Here is a 16805-nt window from a genome sequence, read left to right as displayed (position 1 = left end):
CAGCCCCACTCCACATACTTTTAAGATGAAGTGGTTAAGCACCCCTGTGGCCTAAGGAGGTGAAGACAAATGGATAAAGGAGAGGAACTGCCAGCCTTCTCTCTCATTCTTGTGGGACATAATTTGCCCCTTAGCCTGTTTGGATCAAACCATAAAATGGCAAGAGCTCCTTGCCCTGGAGGGACACACTTTTAAGTCAGACAGGGCTAGACAGAACATTTTCTTCCAGGTAGATGGAGTCTCTTGCTCCAGACCCTGAGGTCTGGAGGAGAGCTCTAAAAATGCCCTCAGATGGTTGGGAGCGGTGATCCATGCCTATAATCCCAGCACTTTGGGAGGCCAAGGTGGGAGAATTGCTTGAGCCCAGGAGTTTAACACCAGCCTCAGCAACAAAGCAAGATTCCATCTCTACAAAATAAAAAATTAGCTGGGCATGGTGGTGTGCACCTGTGGTCCCAGCTACTCAAGACACAGGCAGGTGGATCGCTTGAGCCAGGTAGGTCCATGATGGCACACAGCACTCCAGCCTGAGCAACAGAGCAAGACCCTGTCTCAATAAATCAATAAATACATTGAGCAACTTTTGTTGGACCACAAGGAACTCTGTTTATGGATAGGTACAACCCTCTCCCAGGAAATTAAAGCCCAGCGGTGACCCCCATCTAATGTCTCATGTTAGCAGGGCTGGGATGAGTGTGCTTTTCGGGACCCACTGCTACCTAAAGAGGGAGCATTGGCCAATGGCCAAAAATAAAGTAAGCAGCTGTGAGTGGGTCAGTGCCTACACGGCCTCAAGATTCCCCGGGAGAGAACAGCAACGCTGAACCTCCCAGTGAAGACCACTAAGGGACGAGGGAAAGAGGAATACAGATAAATTTATTAGTTAAATACTGATTTTCCAGCCATTTCACCTTAAGACAATGTTAACAGGTTTGTGGGTTAGGGAGGGTATACGAGGGGGCCTTTGGAAGAAAACAATGTAAATGATGATTAAAACAGAATCTTGGTTCAAAGGTATTCTCTGCTACAGCCAGTAGGATTTTGGAGTGAGGGGTCTGGGCGTGTGGGGAGGCGTAGTAATGCCACAGTCAGCTACAGCTCTGCTGAGAAAGAGGAAGGAGTCTCCTTGAGCTCCAGCATCAGGGGCAGAAACAGCAATGTGCAGAGGAGAACGCGGCAGATCCCGGAGCAGCTCAGAGTCGGAGGCTCCCTCCAGGCCCCCCTGCCGTGTCTTAGCAGTCGTCTTCTTTCCAGGAATTCTGTTGTGTTGTGTTTGTTTGCTTCGAATTCGTGTTGCAGAATCTCTGGCTTTTTGCCTCCTGGACAAAAGACTTCTGCCGGGGCGAGGCTGCAGGTCCTGAGGGACTCTGGCTGCCATCTGACCAAGGGCTAGGAGGAGCAGACAGACAGCAGGTGGGCCAGCCCTTGGGACACTCCTGCCCCCTGACCAGGACTCTGTCCACTTACACTCTCCCCAGAAGGACCTCGAGGCTGGGCTGAGTGCTTGCCAGACTGGCTTGAGCAGCAGAACGTTTTGTTCTTACTCAGAACCCCTCTATGTGTGACACGGTGAACGAAGGGTCTGCAGTGAACTCGAGGGGGTGCCGTTTGGCTAAACTACCCAGCTCTTGTTTTGCCAGGGGAGAGACATGTACAAGCTGCGGGCAGAGCTGAATCGCTCAGAGCGGGAAGAGGGATTTTTATTTTGAGAGATGTTGGAAGTGAAGGAGCAAAGGCCGGCAGCAGGGGGAAGGCACCTGGGGGAGAAGTTGCCAGCTGCATTTTGATGAGGCTGTGCTGTGGTGGGTTAAGTGCCCCTGTAGCTCCCCAGGAAGTGTTCAGTCACTTGTATGTCACACCCCACAATTTTGGAGTCAGATTTGGTATTAGGGATGCAGGGCGGTGCCATGCCTCAAGCGGATGGATGGGGCAAGGGCCTGTCCCCAGGGGCCCGTCGCATCCAGGTACATGGCAAACAGATGCCGTCATTCGGGCTGGAGCAGGGGTCCCAGGGCCCGGCCCTCCGCTTGTTCTCAGATCCTCGGTGCTAGAAACACAATGCAAAACCCACGGTCTAGGCCACAGTGGGGAACGCAGGGGACAAGGACATCTTGGGAAAGAAGTCTCCAACTCACAGGAGAGATGCAGTGTGCTCGTGCTGAAGGGTGGGCTCCCTCCAGTCCCATCAGCGTGTAAAGGCATCTGAGAAAATCCAACACCCGCTTCCCCTAACCAGATTGTCGACTTCAAGTTTCTTCCCAGTTGTTGTTCTGGAGTCATTACCAGGCAGAGGAGGCCGGCCCCTGGGAGCCCAGGGCCTCCTTCTTTGCTATCCTCCAAGTCCCAGGTCCGTGCAGGAATTTGAGGAGGGAAGAGGGAAGATTACGCAGTGATTATGTCCCCGTGACTGTCGGCCAAGACCAGGCTGTTCCAAGAGTCCTGCTTGGAGCTGGTCTGTGGAGACTGGCTGACGGGAGACGCATAGCCTTGTGGGGAGAGCTTCAGGGCCGAGAGGACAGGGTGGATGGAGGGCCCATGGCCAGACATCGCACTGACTGAGAACGTCTGAAAAGCAGAAAGCACACGATGAGGCCCATGGAGACGCTCCTGAGGGCTTGGGAGGTCTAGGCTGGGGAGGGTGCCCTGCTATGCAGATGTCCCCAGGATGGCTTCAGCCCTCAGGAAGGGACCAAGGAGCACTTCTCTCTGTTTCTCCTGATCCCGGTGATCTAGGCATGAAGGGTCTGGGTGATGCATCAGCTGCTTCTGAGCACAGTATACAACCAGGGCTATGACCCGGTGGCCCTGTGGATACTGTGGTTGCCCAGAAGGCTCTGATGGTTACAGGAGACACTTTCTACCATCCTATCACCACCACATCCACTTTCCAACAAAGAAGCCATCCACCCGGCCCAGAAGGGGCTCCTGGTGCCCCTGGTTCTGTGGGATCAGGTTCTCCCAGACAATAAGAAGCTCACTAAGACACGGCCTCCTTCAGTTAAGAGCAGAGACGAGATAACAGCCAGGGCTGGTCAAAGGAGACCGTGATCAAGCTTGGTGCATCCTGGTCCCAAGAGAGGGAACTGCAGAGGGGAGGAGGCAGGGAGGCCGAGACGCCATCGTCCTCCGCCAGAGGGAACATGGGCTGCCCCAGGGCGTCCCCTGACACACGTGCAGAGCTGGGTCTCATGAAAGTGGCATCCTGCCTGTGACCTCCCCACCAGCCTGCCCTGCCTGCCCTCTGCAGGATCCAGGCCTTTCCCCATGCCAGCTTCCTCCTCCTTCCCCACCCTCCCTGTTGAAGTCTAACCTCCCTGCACGTAGGAGGCAGACTTGCCTAGAGAACCTCCGCTCGGCCTCCGACAGCGCAACCACGCCTCCCCTCGCCCCAGCACGCAGTCTCATTCAGGTTGTACTTCTGTGTTGTTTTCCGCCCCTGCCACCCATGCTGTATGCCAGCCCTGGACTCCCCTCTCTTTGTTTCCAAAGATGATGGCATAGAGGAGCTGTTAAAAAATTGTGAGTCACAGTCATGTCCACATCACCATCTTGATAAGATGTCCTGAAATACAGCCCGATGCAGATGCCCCTAGCCTCGTGCGGCCCTGAGGGCACCACACAGCTCAATGGCTGGGTCTTCCTAGCGCAGAGGGTAGCTCACTGCTTGCACCTGTGAGGCCTGGCTGCAAGTCCCACCCAGTACTAGGCTGGCCTCTGGGACTCTGCAGTCGGCCTCCCCACAAACAGCCCTGGCGCCCCAGCCATGGCGCGTACCTGGGACACGGAGCTGCTGTGCCCGTAGTGAGATGACAGGCCAGGCTCCGTCTTGATGGGACGCATCTCCTCGCTGCTGCTGGTGGTGGCGTTGCTGGAGTTGCTGGAAGCACCGCTGGCGGGAGGAAGGCTCTCACTGCCTGAAGGAGCTGGAATGAAGCAGAGTCAGCACACCCAAATCAGCGGCAGGGACAAACGAACAGCCGGCAGCCTGCGAGACAGCCGGGATGGGTGCAAGCTAATGGCTTTATCTACATTTGCCGGGGACAGCAGCAGAGGTCCTTATCTGCGGAGGGCTACAGTTCTCACAGGGATGGCTTCTTCCCCCTATCTCATCTCAAACCCTTGAGGCCACGTGTGTTTCAGGCTTCAAAACTTTTTAAAAAAAGATTCTTCCTCATTCAACTTGAAGATTCACATTTTTAAAAATCCAAATACTGTGTATTATTACAGAATACCTCCAGCAGGGCCTGAGATAATACTCTATAATGAAATACAATAATATCCCCACAGCAAAACACGTGAATATCATACTGAATGGAGTAAACAGAGACTATCAACAGCCTAGTGTCTGTTCAAAATAGGTTTTGCTGCCGAATCTTGCTTCCTGGATTTGGAATTTTGGACTGGGAATCGTGCGCCTGAACCGTATGTCTTCTCTATCTGTGATTGCTACGTGAGAGGAAATAAGGTTACCCAGGGGACATAGGGGACTCGTCAGCAGTAGGGAAGCAGGAGGAGAGGTGGAAGACCACAGGTGTGAGACACTGAAAATTCCAGTAGGAAATATGCCTGCCAGAAGGGATAAGCCATGGTTGAATGTACAAAAGCAGAACTTTGATCATGTTCTTGGTAGTGGAAAGGGCCCATTTATCTGACTCTGTCATGCCTTAGGTTAGAAGATAAATTTTTCGTCAGATCAGCCAATTCATTTTCTCTGTGACTGCAGCACCGACCAGTCAAATCTTTAACTGGGTAGCAGTACTGAGTGAGGAATGTTTTGGTAGGGAACATAAACGTATTAAAGAACAGCCGTTGTTCTGTCAGAAATTTATATATAATTTTATAAATAAATCTAATTTAAATTTAATAAATAGTTAATATATTTATTAAAAATAAATTTAAAAAAGAACAGCCCTCGTTCTTTTTAAATGTATTTCTTTTTTTTTTTTTTAAAGACAGGGTCTTGCTCTGCTCTCCAGGCTGAAGTGCAGTGGCACGATCATAGGTCACTGCAGCCTCAAACTTTTGAGCAGCCCTTATTCTTAATCTAGAAATTAAGAAGGCAGAGTGGTATATTGAAGAGAACATTGACCCAGAAGCAGAAAAACTTGGGTTTTAATTCTCTACCCATTAACAGCTGTATGACCCTCGTTAAATCATTGTCCTCTATGAGCCTCAGTTTGCTTGTTAGTAAAATGGGGTCATAAACTGGTTCTCATGGAGTCTTACTTTCATGGAGATAATATTTCTGAAGGGGCTTTCTAAAGCACAAAGCACTGCATGATGTTAATTATACATTGGCTTAGAGATCAATCTGTTAGGGACATGATTAATTGGACCCTGCCCTCCTGGATCCCCGTTAGCCCAAAGAGAATTGAAAGGAACTGAGCTTTTGGGTGGCTGCAGCGCCAAAGATGAAAGGACCGAGTAAAGTTCCTCTTTCCTGCAGGACCTCGGCTGGTCCAGCCTGAGCACTGGGTCTTTGCAGTCGGCAATGATCAGGCCCCAGCTTGAGTTGAGCCTGCTTCGAAAGCTCCCAACACGTTCCATGGCAATTGTTACTTTTTTGCTGGGCTCTTCATCCTGTCCTGAAAGGCCAGGGATGTCCGATGCTGTCACCACCCCCTGGCGGCCCGGGCTGGCCTGCCTAACCCGGAAGATATGATTCTTAGGCACTCTGAGGGCTCCTGATGTACTCATATAATCACTCACAGATCTTTTCCTCACCTGCTGGTGTCTTAGATTTATTCAGGTTCTTGGGCTTCCGTTTTCTGGTTTGGATCCCCTCTTTCCGCATTGCAAGAGGCCTGGGGACCTGGAGGGTCACAAGTAAATATATAGGGTTTTCCATTTCTGCGTAGTCTGCTACAGCATTGAAAGACACACACCTGCTGCGAGAAGGCAACACCTAAGCAATCTCTCCACAAAGCCTGGGGCCCAGACGGGCTGCACAGGCCCCTGGAACTCAGCGAGAAAGAAATCAATTCCATTTTTAAAAAACTTATCGAGCACCTGTGTGATGTGATGGCTACTTTACTAGAGCCTGGAGAATAGGGAACTAAAGACACACAGCTCCTACCCTCAGAAATTCACAGACAAGGAGAAATAACCAGACTCTGGTCGGTGATGTAAAAAGACAGAGAAACACTAAACTCTGTCCTGGGGTGAGGAGTGGGAAGGAGGGGCACGTGAGGATATCAAGGAAGGCTTCAGTGTGGAGGTGACACCTGAGTTTGTAAAAGGTTTTGAGTAGACAGAGGCAGGCATTTCAGGCAGCAGAGACAGACTGTTCAAAAGCCTTTATCATCCACACAAGGACCCTGAAAACAAAAAGTGGGTGCTAGGCCAGGCACAGTGGCTCATGCCTGTAATCCCAGCACTTTGGGTGGCCGAGGTGGGAGGACTGCTTGAGCCCAGGAGTTCGAGACCATCCTTGGCAACATAGTGAGACCCCATCTCTACAAAAAAGTTTTAAAATTAGCTGGGCACGGTGCTGCATGCCTGTAGTCCCAGCTACTCAGAAGGCTGAGATAGGAGGATCCCTTGAACCCAGGAAGTCGAGGCTCCAGCAAGCCGTGATCGTGCCACTGCACTCCAGCCTGGGTGGTGGAGCAAGGCCCTATCTTCAAAAGGTGTGAGGGTGCAGCGGTGCTATCAATTATTGTGCTGGGAAAATTGGCCTCAACAGCAACAGTCCCAGTGAGTTGAGATGTAACATCACTCTACTTATTGCAGCTCTGTACTGCATTGGGTCTGGCTGGAGCCATTGGTGCTTCTGTGAATGGTGGGGAGCAGTAAGAGACTATGCTAGAGACTGCCCTGTGACCAGGTTCTGAGATAAAATGTCCCTGGACAACACTTTGACCACAGTTCTGTTGGGAGGCAGGCCCCAGAGCCATTCACAGATGCCTAAGCCAGTCCTGGGGAGCAGGACTGCAGGGTGCCTTCCCCACATCTGGTTTCTCTTAGGCTGAGCCAAATCTTTTAGCCCCTTTTCTATGCTGTGCTTGTCTACCATGTGGGATTGATAAAGGCCACACCTGCAAATACAGAAAGAAAAGCAATTACTGCTTCAGAGACATGAACACGCAATGGTTAAGCGAGAAATGCACCAGCATATGTGAACTTGAACTGGCCTCCTATTTAACTGTGGGTAGATGGGGTGGCACTTGCACCCCCCGACCCCACCATCTGCACATCTCTCTGTGACTCTACACCCAGACCCCTATTTCCCACCTTGTGGAAGGGTGTCCTCCCCCACCCCATCCCCCTAGCTATGCCTCAAATGTTCAAACCCATTCTGGCCTCAGAAGAATCTCCCCCTCACGTTAATCTCCATTCACTTAGGTATGCTTTTTTTTTTTCAGTTGCAGTAAAATGAAACACACCTAACTTAAAATTTACCATCTGAACCATTCTGAAGTATATTGCTCTGTAGTGTTAAGCGCATTCACACCGTTCTGCAAGCCTGACCACCATCCCCAGAACTCTTCTCGTCTTGCAAAACTCAAACTCCATACCCATTAAACATCACTCCTCATTCCCCCTTTCCCTAGCCCCCGACAGCCTCCATTCTACTTTCTGTCTCTATGGATTTGACATGTGGTGTCAGGGGCCAGAATTCCCTTCCTTTTAAAGGCTGAGTAATATCCTACGTGTATGTATATCACACTGTGTTTATCCGTTCATTTCTCCGTGGACACTTGGGTTGTTTACATCTTTCTGCAATTGTGAATCATGCTGCTATAAACAGCAGTGTACAAATAGCTCTTTGAGGCCCTGCCTTTAATTATTTTGGGTATATATCCAGAAATGGTACGCTGGATCATGTGGTAATTCTATTTTTTTATTTTCTGAGAATATAATCTTTTTAATACCTATATAATATTTCCCAATAAGTTTCTTGTACCATTCCCATATTGAAGAACAATAGTTTAACCATTTTCCTTCCAAAGGTTTTCTTTCCTCCATTTTTGCTATTACAGTGATTAACAAACATCCTTGTATACATGCTTTGTAGAAATATTTTCTTATGAATGTTCATAACTTTAGCCATTTGCTTGTTCATTATAACAAGAAATCATGAAAAGATACATGAGACTAAGTTAACAACAGCCCTCTCACTCTACTACCGTCAATCCTATCCCAGTGAGGCAAATGGATTTAACAGCCTGTTATATATTCTTACATTTAAAAAAATTCTCAAACATCTGTACACATATATATCTATTGACTTGGTTTGGCTGTGTCCCCACCAAAATCTCATCTTGAATTGTAGCTCCCATAATTCCCACATGTTGTGGGACCGACCTGATGGGAGATAACTGAGTCACAGGGGCGGTTTCTCCCATACTGTTCTCACTATAGTGAGTAAGTCTCATGAGAGCTGATGGTTTTATAAGGGGAAACCCCTTTTGCTTGGCTCTCATTCTCTCTTGCCTGCTGCCATGTAAGACGTGCCTTTCACCTTCCGCCATGATTGTGAGGCCTCCCCAGCGATGTGGAACTGTGAGTCCATTAAGCCACTTTTTAATTTTGGGTATGTCTTTATCAGCAGTGTGAAAACAGACTAATACACCTATACGTGTATATTTGTGTGTGTGTGTTCACCCATCCACTGGTCTGTCCACCCATCCATATGTATGTCTGTTTAATGCACCTTCGACACTCATAGTATGGGGTCATGCTACATATATTTCTTTGCAATGTGCTTTTTCATTTTCTAGATCAAGATACATGGCCCTAGATTATTATTTTTAAGTTTCTTCTCAATATTCCACATTTTGGGATATAGCAGAATTTTTTCAACCATTCCTTTATGGGGTTTTAAGGTTGTTTCTAGTTTTTGCCACCACAAACAATGCAGCAATAAATGGTTCAAAGGTCATCATGTACTGGTTATTTTTTATAGGCTAGTTTCCCAACAGTAGACCTGCCAGATATAATGGTGTTCATGGTTTCAACCTTAAAAAATACCACTAAGTTAATAGATGCAGTAATTCAAATACAGATCAATAATATATGAGAGTATCTAATTCCCCAAATCCATAGCAGCAAACACTTTAATTTTTGCCAAGTATATGGGCAAACTAGGGACTTTCATGGTCATTTTCAGGTACATTTCTCTGATTTTTAGTGAGATTCAGCATATGTGCACATGTTTCATGGCTATCTGGGCAGCTTCTGTGAGATGTCAGTCCATATCTTTTGCCCATTTGGGGGAAGTGGGGAAAGATCAATTGTTCTTTTCTTATTAGGCTACAAGACCTATCTGTTTCTGGTTTGGTTTGGTTTTAATTTAACTTGTATTTGAACAATTAAGACTTGCATATGTCCCGTCTAAGGTACCAAGGGGGTACACAGCAAAAAGAGTGTCCTTCCAATCCCTTCTCCCCAGGACCCCAGTTTTTCTCCTGGAGGCACCCCATGTACGTATATATGCATACATGTGACCATGTGACCAATCTCTACATATCCTACCAGAGGTGTTCTGTATATGTGGAAGCAACCACCTATAAATTATATTCTTCCTCATATTTATAAAAATAGTGCCATAGTAGGTAGTGTTGGGCACCTTGCCTTTTTGTTAATATTGTATAATGGAGAATGTTCCAATAAAAATTAAAGAGCTTTGTAGAAGCTCCTTGTAATTCTGGAAATATTAACCCTTTTTCTGATACTGTGTGTATTGGTCTTTACTTTCCCTAGGTATCATTTCCAGGCACAAACAGTAAATATTTACAAAATCAAATATATCTAACTATTCTTATATGGCTAAAAAGTTTTAAAATCTTGTTTAAGAAGTTCTCCCATCCCCAAAGTTATATAAATACTTTCCCTTACATTTTCTTCCAGTGTTTTTATTGTCTGATTTTCTTTGCAGTATTTTATTATCTAATATTTTTATTTTTTTGGAGACAGGGTCTCACTTTGTCACTCAGGCTGGAGTGCAGTGGGACAATCAGAGCTCACTGCAGCCTCAAACTCCTGAGCTCAAGCCATCCTCCTACCTCAGACTCCTGAGTAGCTGGGACTAGAGGCATGCACCACCATGCCCAGCTAGATTTTTTTTTTTTTTTTTTTTTTTTTTAGTAGAGACAAAGTTTCACCATGTTGTCCAGGTTGGTTTTGAAATCCTGAGCTCATGCAATCCTTCTGCCTCAGCCTCCCAAAGTGCTGCAATTACAGGCATGAGTCATGATGCCTGGCCTTACTTTTAGTTTATTTCAAAGATGTTTTACATGTAATATCCTTAATTCACCCAAGTTTATTTTTGTTTAAGGTAGGAGGTAGAGGTCATGCTTTCCTTCTGTTTTCCAAATGAACAGCCAATTTTGTCAATACAACTATCCTTAAGCTTCTTATCCACTGAATCGAAACGTCACCTTTGTTACACATCAAACTGCTACATATAAATGTAGCCTGCTCATCTGTAAAACGGAAAATTCACTTATACAATGTAAAGGACGGAAGAGGCCAGCAAAGTAGTTGAAAGCCCCTTCCAAATCTAAGTCTCTTTGTTAAGAAGGAAAAATGAATGCTAGTACAAAGGAAGAAGACAAGGGAGGACTGAGAGATGGGCATCAGAAGGCAAGGATGCCGCATGGGCGCAGGACCCACGTACCCCGTGGAGCTTCATGTAGAGGCCGCAGGCATTGCACACAGGCTCGCCCTCCGCATTGCGGCGCCACAGCGTGGTGGTGGTGGTCTGGCAGTTGGCACAGGAGAGGCCCACTCGGCGGGAGGCGGACTGCAAGACAGGAAACAAATGCTTCATGTCCAAGTAAAAGGTGTGCACTGCCCTTCCACCTCGCGTGTGGCTGCGGAGCTGGGCCTCCCTAACGGGAGGCAGGGCTGGGCCCTAACGACCCTGCATGAGATCTCTGACCTGTGACGGCACCTAACTCTCCTGTCACCTGCGCCACTGCGAGGAATAAATCAGAACAAGGTTTCTGCTGCCCGAGGAGAGCGAACGTGGGCATCGAGACCTGGTTTCCAGTCCTAACCATCATTCACCGTCAGGCGAATAACCAGTGAGCGCCGGGCACTGCCGGCAGGAAAGCTTCTCCTGAGAGGAGAACTGACCGGGGCTGCAGGTGCCGGGGGCAGGCAGAGAGTGAGGAATCACGGTGTCCAAATGGTATCAAAGTCTGAATGGCCCTGGGACCTCAAGAAAGGGAGGCACCAGGTTTATCCCCTCTGTTCTTCCCTCCTTAATATAGTGCAAGCTGGTTGGTGTTGACCAGAATCAAATTATATTAAAAAGGAGCAGGAAGCCAGGAGCCAAGCCCCAGGCCCAAACTCTTCCCTAGCCACGGGGCCCAACACAAGCTGCTTGCACTTCTGGGCTTTGGGATTTATCAACTGATCAACTGAGGTCAGGGTAGAGACCAGCCTCTGAGGTGACCTTCCTTGCAGGGTTGGTGTGGGTGGAGGAGACACTCCAGTCAACACTGGACTGGGAACCAGGAAACCTGGATTCTGGTTCCAGAGTTCTAGATGGGAGACTCAGTACCTGAGTGGCTGTGGGCAAGGCCACTAGCTTTTCTGAGCCTCACTTTCAGTTTCTGTGTGCCGAAGAGGTTGAACTAGACAGCCTGGATCATTCTGGTGGCTCCAGCTAACTCTAAAGTTGTGAGAATTATTATGGGGCTCTCACCCACGTAATCCCCGATGCACACCCTCAAGTTCCAAAATTCAAAACCAGAGGATGTCCCACCAAGGCGAGAGCTCCGCAGCCAGGTGCCCAGAGGAGGCTGCGAGGCACGTGCTTACCAGCCGGCGCTGAGGCTTGATGAGCGGCCGGTTGATGCCGTTCATCTTGTGGTAGAGGCCGCAGGCGTTGCACAGATAGTGACCCGTCCCATCTCGCCTCCAGAGCGGGGTGGACATAGCCCCACAGTTGACACACTCTCTGCCTTCTGAGAAGTCGTCAAACATATCTACTGAGTTGGGGGGAACAGACAAGAAAAGACACAGAGGATTAATTCTTTGTTTATGCCCAGCTCTCACATCTGAGAATCTAGAGCGCACAGAAACAATGCCCTTTCCTTGGAAAGAGAAGACCACCTCGGGCTGCTCTTGCTCTTCCTCACTCTGACTTCAGCCCCTGCTCCCTAATCCCAGACACTGAGAGTTCCCCTGAGCACGAGAAGAGGAAAAAGTTGCAGTGATCACCCACGTCCTGGGCTGGGAGGCGGGACACCTGGATTTCAGTGCAGGTATCACATTCAGAGCCTCCAGCCCTAGGCCTCTCACCTCACACTGAGGTCCACGCAAACCTTGCTCTCTCTTTTTCCCTTTCAAAGTTAGTAAGATTACTTTTCCTTTTGCATAAAGATATAATAAATATTTACCTTAGGAAAATTAGTGCCAAAATATATAAAGAAAATCCAGATTGTCACTAATGTTTTGAGCATTTGGTTCTATTGTATCCTTTGTAAGACTGTATTTATTTTATTCTTTTTATTAGAGACAGGGTCACTCTGTCACCCAGGCTGGAGTACAGTGGTGCAGTCATAACTCAGTCCAGCCTTGAACCCCTGGGCTCAAGCGATACTCCAGCCTCAGCCTCCCAAAGTGCTGAGACTACATGCATGAGCCACTGTGCCCAGCCCTTTGTGAGACTTCTTTTCTCTTTTTGAGACGGAGTTTCACTCTTGTTGCCCAGGCTAGAGTGCAATGGTGCGATCTCAGCTCACTGCAACCTCTGCCTCCCACGTTCACGCGATTCTCCTGCCTCAGCCTCCGAAGTAGCTAGGATTACAGGCATGCGCCACCACACACGGCTAATTTTGTGCTTTTAGTAGAGACGGGGTTTCATCAGGCTGGTCTCAAACTCCTGACCTCAAATGGTCCACCCGCCTCAGCCTCCCAAAGTACTGGGTGAGTACACCACACCCGGCCTTGTGAGACTTTCATATGTTGATCCATATTTTTGCCAAGCTATATAATTCTGAGTCTGTGTGGGTCGTTTGCTTAATACCAAAACATTTTCCCAATGACAAATTCTTTATAAACTCATTTTATAAAATTCTTTATACACTCATATACCATTGTTCCATCATATAAAGGTGCCATCATTTAACTAGTATCATTCAGCTATTAATCTTCATCCAGTTTTGGATTCTTGTTTCATAAACACTGCTCCTTACTTAAGTCTGTGCATTTCTAGTTATTCCTTAAGATACTCTCTGAGAAGTAGAATTTCTGAGTCAAAGGCACTAAATTTCTTTTTCAGTTCTTGGAATTTGCTAACTGTCCTGCAAAAAAAGCTTCATTCATTCATTTTTTCTGTTTTAATATACCTGTATGGGCTGCCATATCATAGTTGGACATTTTTCTTGCTTATTGGTATATAAAATAAAGGTGCATATTATAAGCAATGGCACTTTAGAGCTGCTCACATAAGCGTAGCATCTCCCCAGCTACCACAAGGCTGCCGGGGTCTGCCGCTCCCTTCACTCGCTCACCCCTCCCCGCCATCACCTTTATCATCCATGTCTACAGAATGTTACAATTGACAGATTCCACCTGTGTCCATTCTCCTCACCCTCGTGAGACAGGCTGGGCCAGTTTTCTTGCTCCCCGTAGTCTCTATAAAGCCTGGCTCACCATCTCCAGAAGTCTCTCTGACTTCATGTTATCCTAATTTGCTGTCCCAAAACACATCTACCTTGGTCTCCAGATTCTTCCTATGCTGCTGCCAGAGGCAAGGGCAGATTTTTCTCTAGTGAAGAGGGGTGCTTTTATTGAGTTGGGAGGACAGGTGGTAAAGAGCTCTCTTTCCAACAGGACCCAGCTCGGGAGTGGGTTGAGGTTGCGCATTTTGCTAGTTATGTGGCCCAGCTACTTGCTCTAGGGGAATGTGGGCCAGAGAAGAGGATGGTGGGGGGCCCTCCCCACAACTCTGGGTACACAAACAGTCATTTGCACCTGCAAACAGGTAGCTGTGTGTCCACACCAAGTAAACAGTGTGCAGGTGTAAGGGGCTATTTGCTCAGGCCAGGGAGCGGAGCACAGGCGTCACAGCAGAGGCTATTTTTACACCTGGGTCACACTGACAGCCTCCACCAAGGTCGCCTGCCCTCAGAGCCGCCCATGAGATGCGGCCACTCCCGCCCATAGCTTGCTCCCAGCTGGACCACCACAATCAACACTACTGTTGCCACCTCTACAGTCCGTGCCTATGGGCTGTCAGCCCCGCTTCTTTCATCCAGGCCTGCCCATGAGGGGATTAAAGAGGCCAGGAATTTACAGAAGGACATTAGACCAAGCCCACTCCACAGCAAGAGGCGGGCGCGGGCAACGTCGTCGTTTTGTTGGGTGTTCGCAATAAACACTGGGTGGCGCTACCATCTCAAAATTGAACCAAGACACGCGGTCTAGCCTGAATCGCACTTGGACATAGAGGCCTTGTAAGATCACCTTTCCATTCCAAACCTAGTGCAACCCTCCCATTCTGGTTTCCTTTTTTATTTTATTTTGCTCTTTAGAGACCGGGTTCACTCTCACCCAAGCCGGAGTGTAGTGGTGCAATCACAGCTCACTGCAGCCACCAACTCCTGGCCTCAAGAGATACTCCTGCCTCAGTCTATTTTACTTTTTCTATCTTTTTTTTTCCTTTTTTTTTTGAGACAGAGTCTCACTCTGTCACCCAGGCTGCAGTGCAGTGGGCATTGCAACCTCTAGCTTCCTTAGAACCTGGGACCACAGGCACACGCTACCATCCCCAGCTAATTTTTGTAGAGACAAGGTTTCACTGTGTTGCCCAGGCTGGTCTCAAATTCCTGGGTTCAAGTGATCCTCCTGCCTCGGCCTCCCAAAATGCTGGGATTACAGGCATAAGCCACTGCACCCAGCCCTATTTTTCTTTATTATGAAAAAATTTAAACATATTCAGAAGGGGACAGAATATGAAAACGAACTCTTAACTATCATCCAGCTTCCAATCATTTGTGGTCAATCTTGTCTTACCTGTACCTCCATTCACTTTCCCCCACATTGTGTTACTGAAGAAAATCCCAGACTTCTATTATTTTATTCATAAATATCTCAGTATGTTCCTCTAACAGATAGAGTCACACTCCTAAAAATAAGCAAACTGGCCTCTCTCCTACATTCTGGTTCATTTAAGTGAAAAACATCTCATAATGTGTTCCTCTTGTTCGGAGGGGAGATTCTCTTTTCTCCTCACAATTATTGTTTTATATGCAGGAATGGAGTCTTTTTTTTCTTTTTCCCACACTACACTGATGTAAAGAAAAACTTTTTGTGAGACAGGGTCTCACTCTGTCCCCCAGGCTGGAGTACAGTGCTGCGATCTCGGCTCACTGCAGCCTCAACCTCCTAGGCTCAAGCAATCCTCCCACCTCAGCCTCCCAAGTATCTGGGACTACAGGTGCATGCTGCCATGCCTTGCTAATTTTTTTTTTTTTTTTTTTTTTTTTGGTAGAGACAAGCTCTCACTGTGTTGTACAGACTGGTCTTGAACTCCTAAGCTCAAGCGATCCTCCCACCTCAGCCTTCCAAAGTTCTGGGATTATGGGCGTGAGCCACCATGTCCACCCCAGAACTGTGCCCACCCCAGAATCTTATTAAAGGACGCAGGAATCCCTGGAGCGTGATCTCAGCTGCCGACTCACCTCTGGCTGCCTTGAGAGCCCAACACACAGGTGTGCCTCAGCAGCTCCTGCAGGCTCACCTCAAAGTTGGGTTATGCATTCAAGCAATTATTTTACTGTCCAGGTAAAGTCACTGGAGGTTGCCAAGTATGTATTTGCCACCAACAAATATTTACTGAGCATCTGCTATTTAATCACTCTGATAGATGTCACAGGAGCTAGGAGGGAACCCAGGTCTCAGAGTGCTAATGATCTATTTGGACAAATTGGATTTGAATATCAATAATGACTAATAATATTAGTTCATTTTTAGAACACACCCTCAGCAGAGTGGGGGACTCATGGCAGACCCTAATTGTCTAGGGCAGAAAGTGTGGAATTCCCACCAGCATAGAAGTCCCATTGCGATAGAAGGGTCAGGGGTTACCAAAACAGCCAAAGTAAAGGCTATGCTTCCTAAAGACATCCAATAGTCAACCTCCTACACCTCCAAATCGGCAGAAGTTTCCATATTTCCAACCACAAAATCCTGCCATCCAACCTGCTCCATGAAATGTTACACATATTTTTAAACAATTATTACCAAAACAAGGTAACCATAGAGGAAAACGTTGGCCCTACAATGTTAAATCACAAACACAGCACTAACTAAGTCCCAAACTAGCACTGACATCTGGTATGAACCTCGGTAAGCACCACTTCTCATTCCTTCCTACGAAAGGCACTGAGAGGAACTTCCCTGGGGGCAAGAGTGATTCCGAAGCCAGGGGGCACAGCTGTGGCCTCGGATGCAGCCCCTCCCACCCAGTGCTGGCATCCCGGGAACTCCTCCAGCCACTTGGAAGGCATCACCCACGTTTGGAGGAAAGACTTGTAATAATAGTTGTAAAGTACTTTGCAAATGAGAGGAAAAACTTACAACAATGGCTGTAAAGTGCTTTGCAAACATCAAATGAGATAACAATGATGGATTATTGTTAGGAGGCTGAAGTTGGAGGGGTCAGGAGGGAGTGGGAAAGACCAGGACAAACTTTGGCGCTGGTTATTGGAGGAGGGGAGGACAGATAAAAGAGCTAGGAGACTGGGGAATCTGACCTTTCTTAAACCACTGGGGCTATACTCAGAATTGTCTGTGCTCTCAGCGGTCAGGTTTGAGACTGCAAGCCAGGAACCAACTGACAGCAA

General features: G+C 47.7%; 1 protein-coding gene across 5 annotated transcripts in view, besides 1 other annotated feature; it reads right to left on the bottom strand.

Moving 5' to 3' along the window:
• GATA4 (GATA binding protein 4) overlaps positions 856 to 16805 on the bottom strand; it is an 83068-nt gene continuing 67118 nt past the window's right edge. For 2 of the 5 annotated variants that reach the window (NM_001308094.2, NM_001308093.3), the window contains exons 3-7: positions 11773 to 11942; positions 10622 to 10747; positions 5725 to 5812; positions 3775 to 3923; positions 856 to 2565 (exon numbers count right to left, since the gene is read on the bottom strand). In NM_001308094.2, coding sequence (NP_001295023.1) covers positions 2383 to 2565; positions 3775 to 3923; positions 5725 to 5812; positions 10622 to 10747; positions 11773 to 11937 — 711 coding nt within the window. In that variant the 5' untranslated portion in view covers positions 11938 to 11942 and the 3' untranslated portion in view covers positions 856 to 2382. The remainder of the gene's footprint in view (positions 2566 to 3774; positions 3924 to 5724; positions 5813 to 10621; positions 10748 to 11772; positions 11943 to 16805) is intronic. The other 3 variants (NM_002052.5, NM_001374273.1, NM_001374274.1) reach the window with 2 other exon arrangements.
• Positions 13672 to 14185: an enhancer, noted in NCBI's record as "VISTA enhancer hs508". NCBI's record gives its function as "enhancer in: heart[6/13]" and the evidence as "EXISTENCE:transgenic organism evidence [ECO:0001131][PMID:17130149]".

This window comes from Homo sapiens, chromosome 8, assembly GCF_000001405.40.
Source record: "Homo sapiens chromosome 8, GRCh38.p14 Primary Assembly".
Lineage (NCBI taxonomy): Eukaryota > Metazoa > Chordata > Mammalia > Primates > Hominidae > Homo > Homo sapiens.
This window is presented reverse-complemented; position numbering and strand designations above follow the sequence as displayed.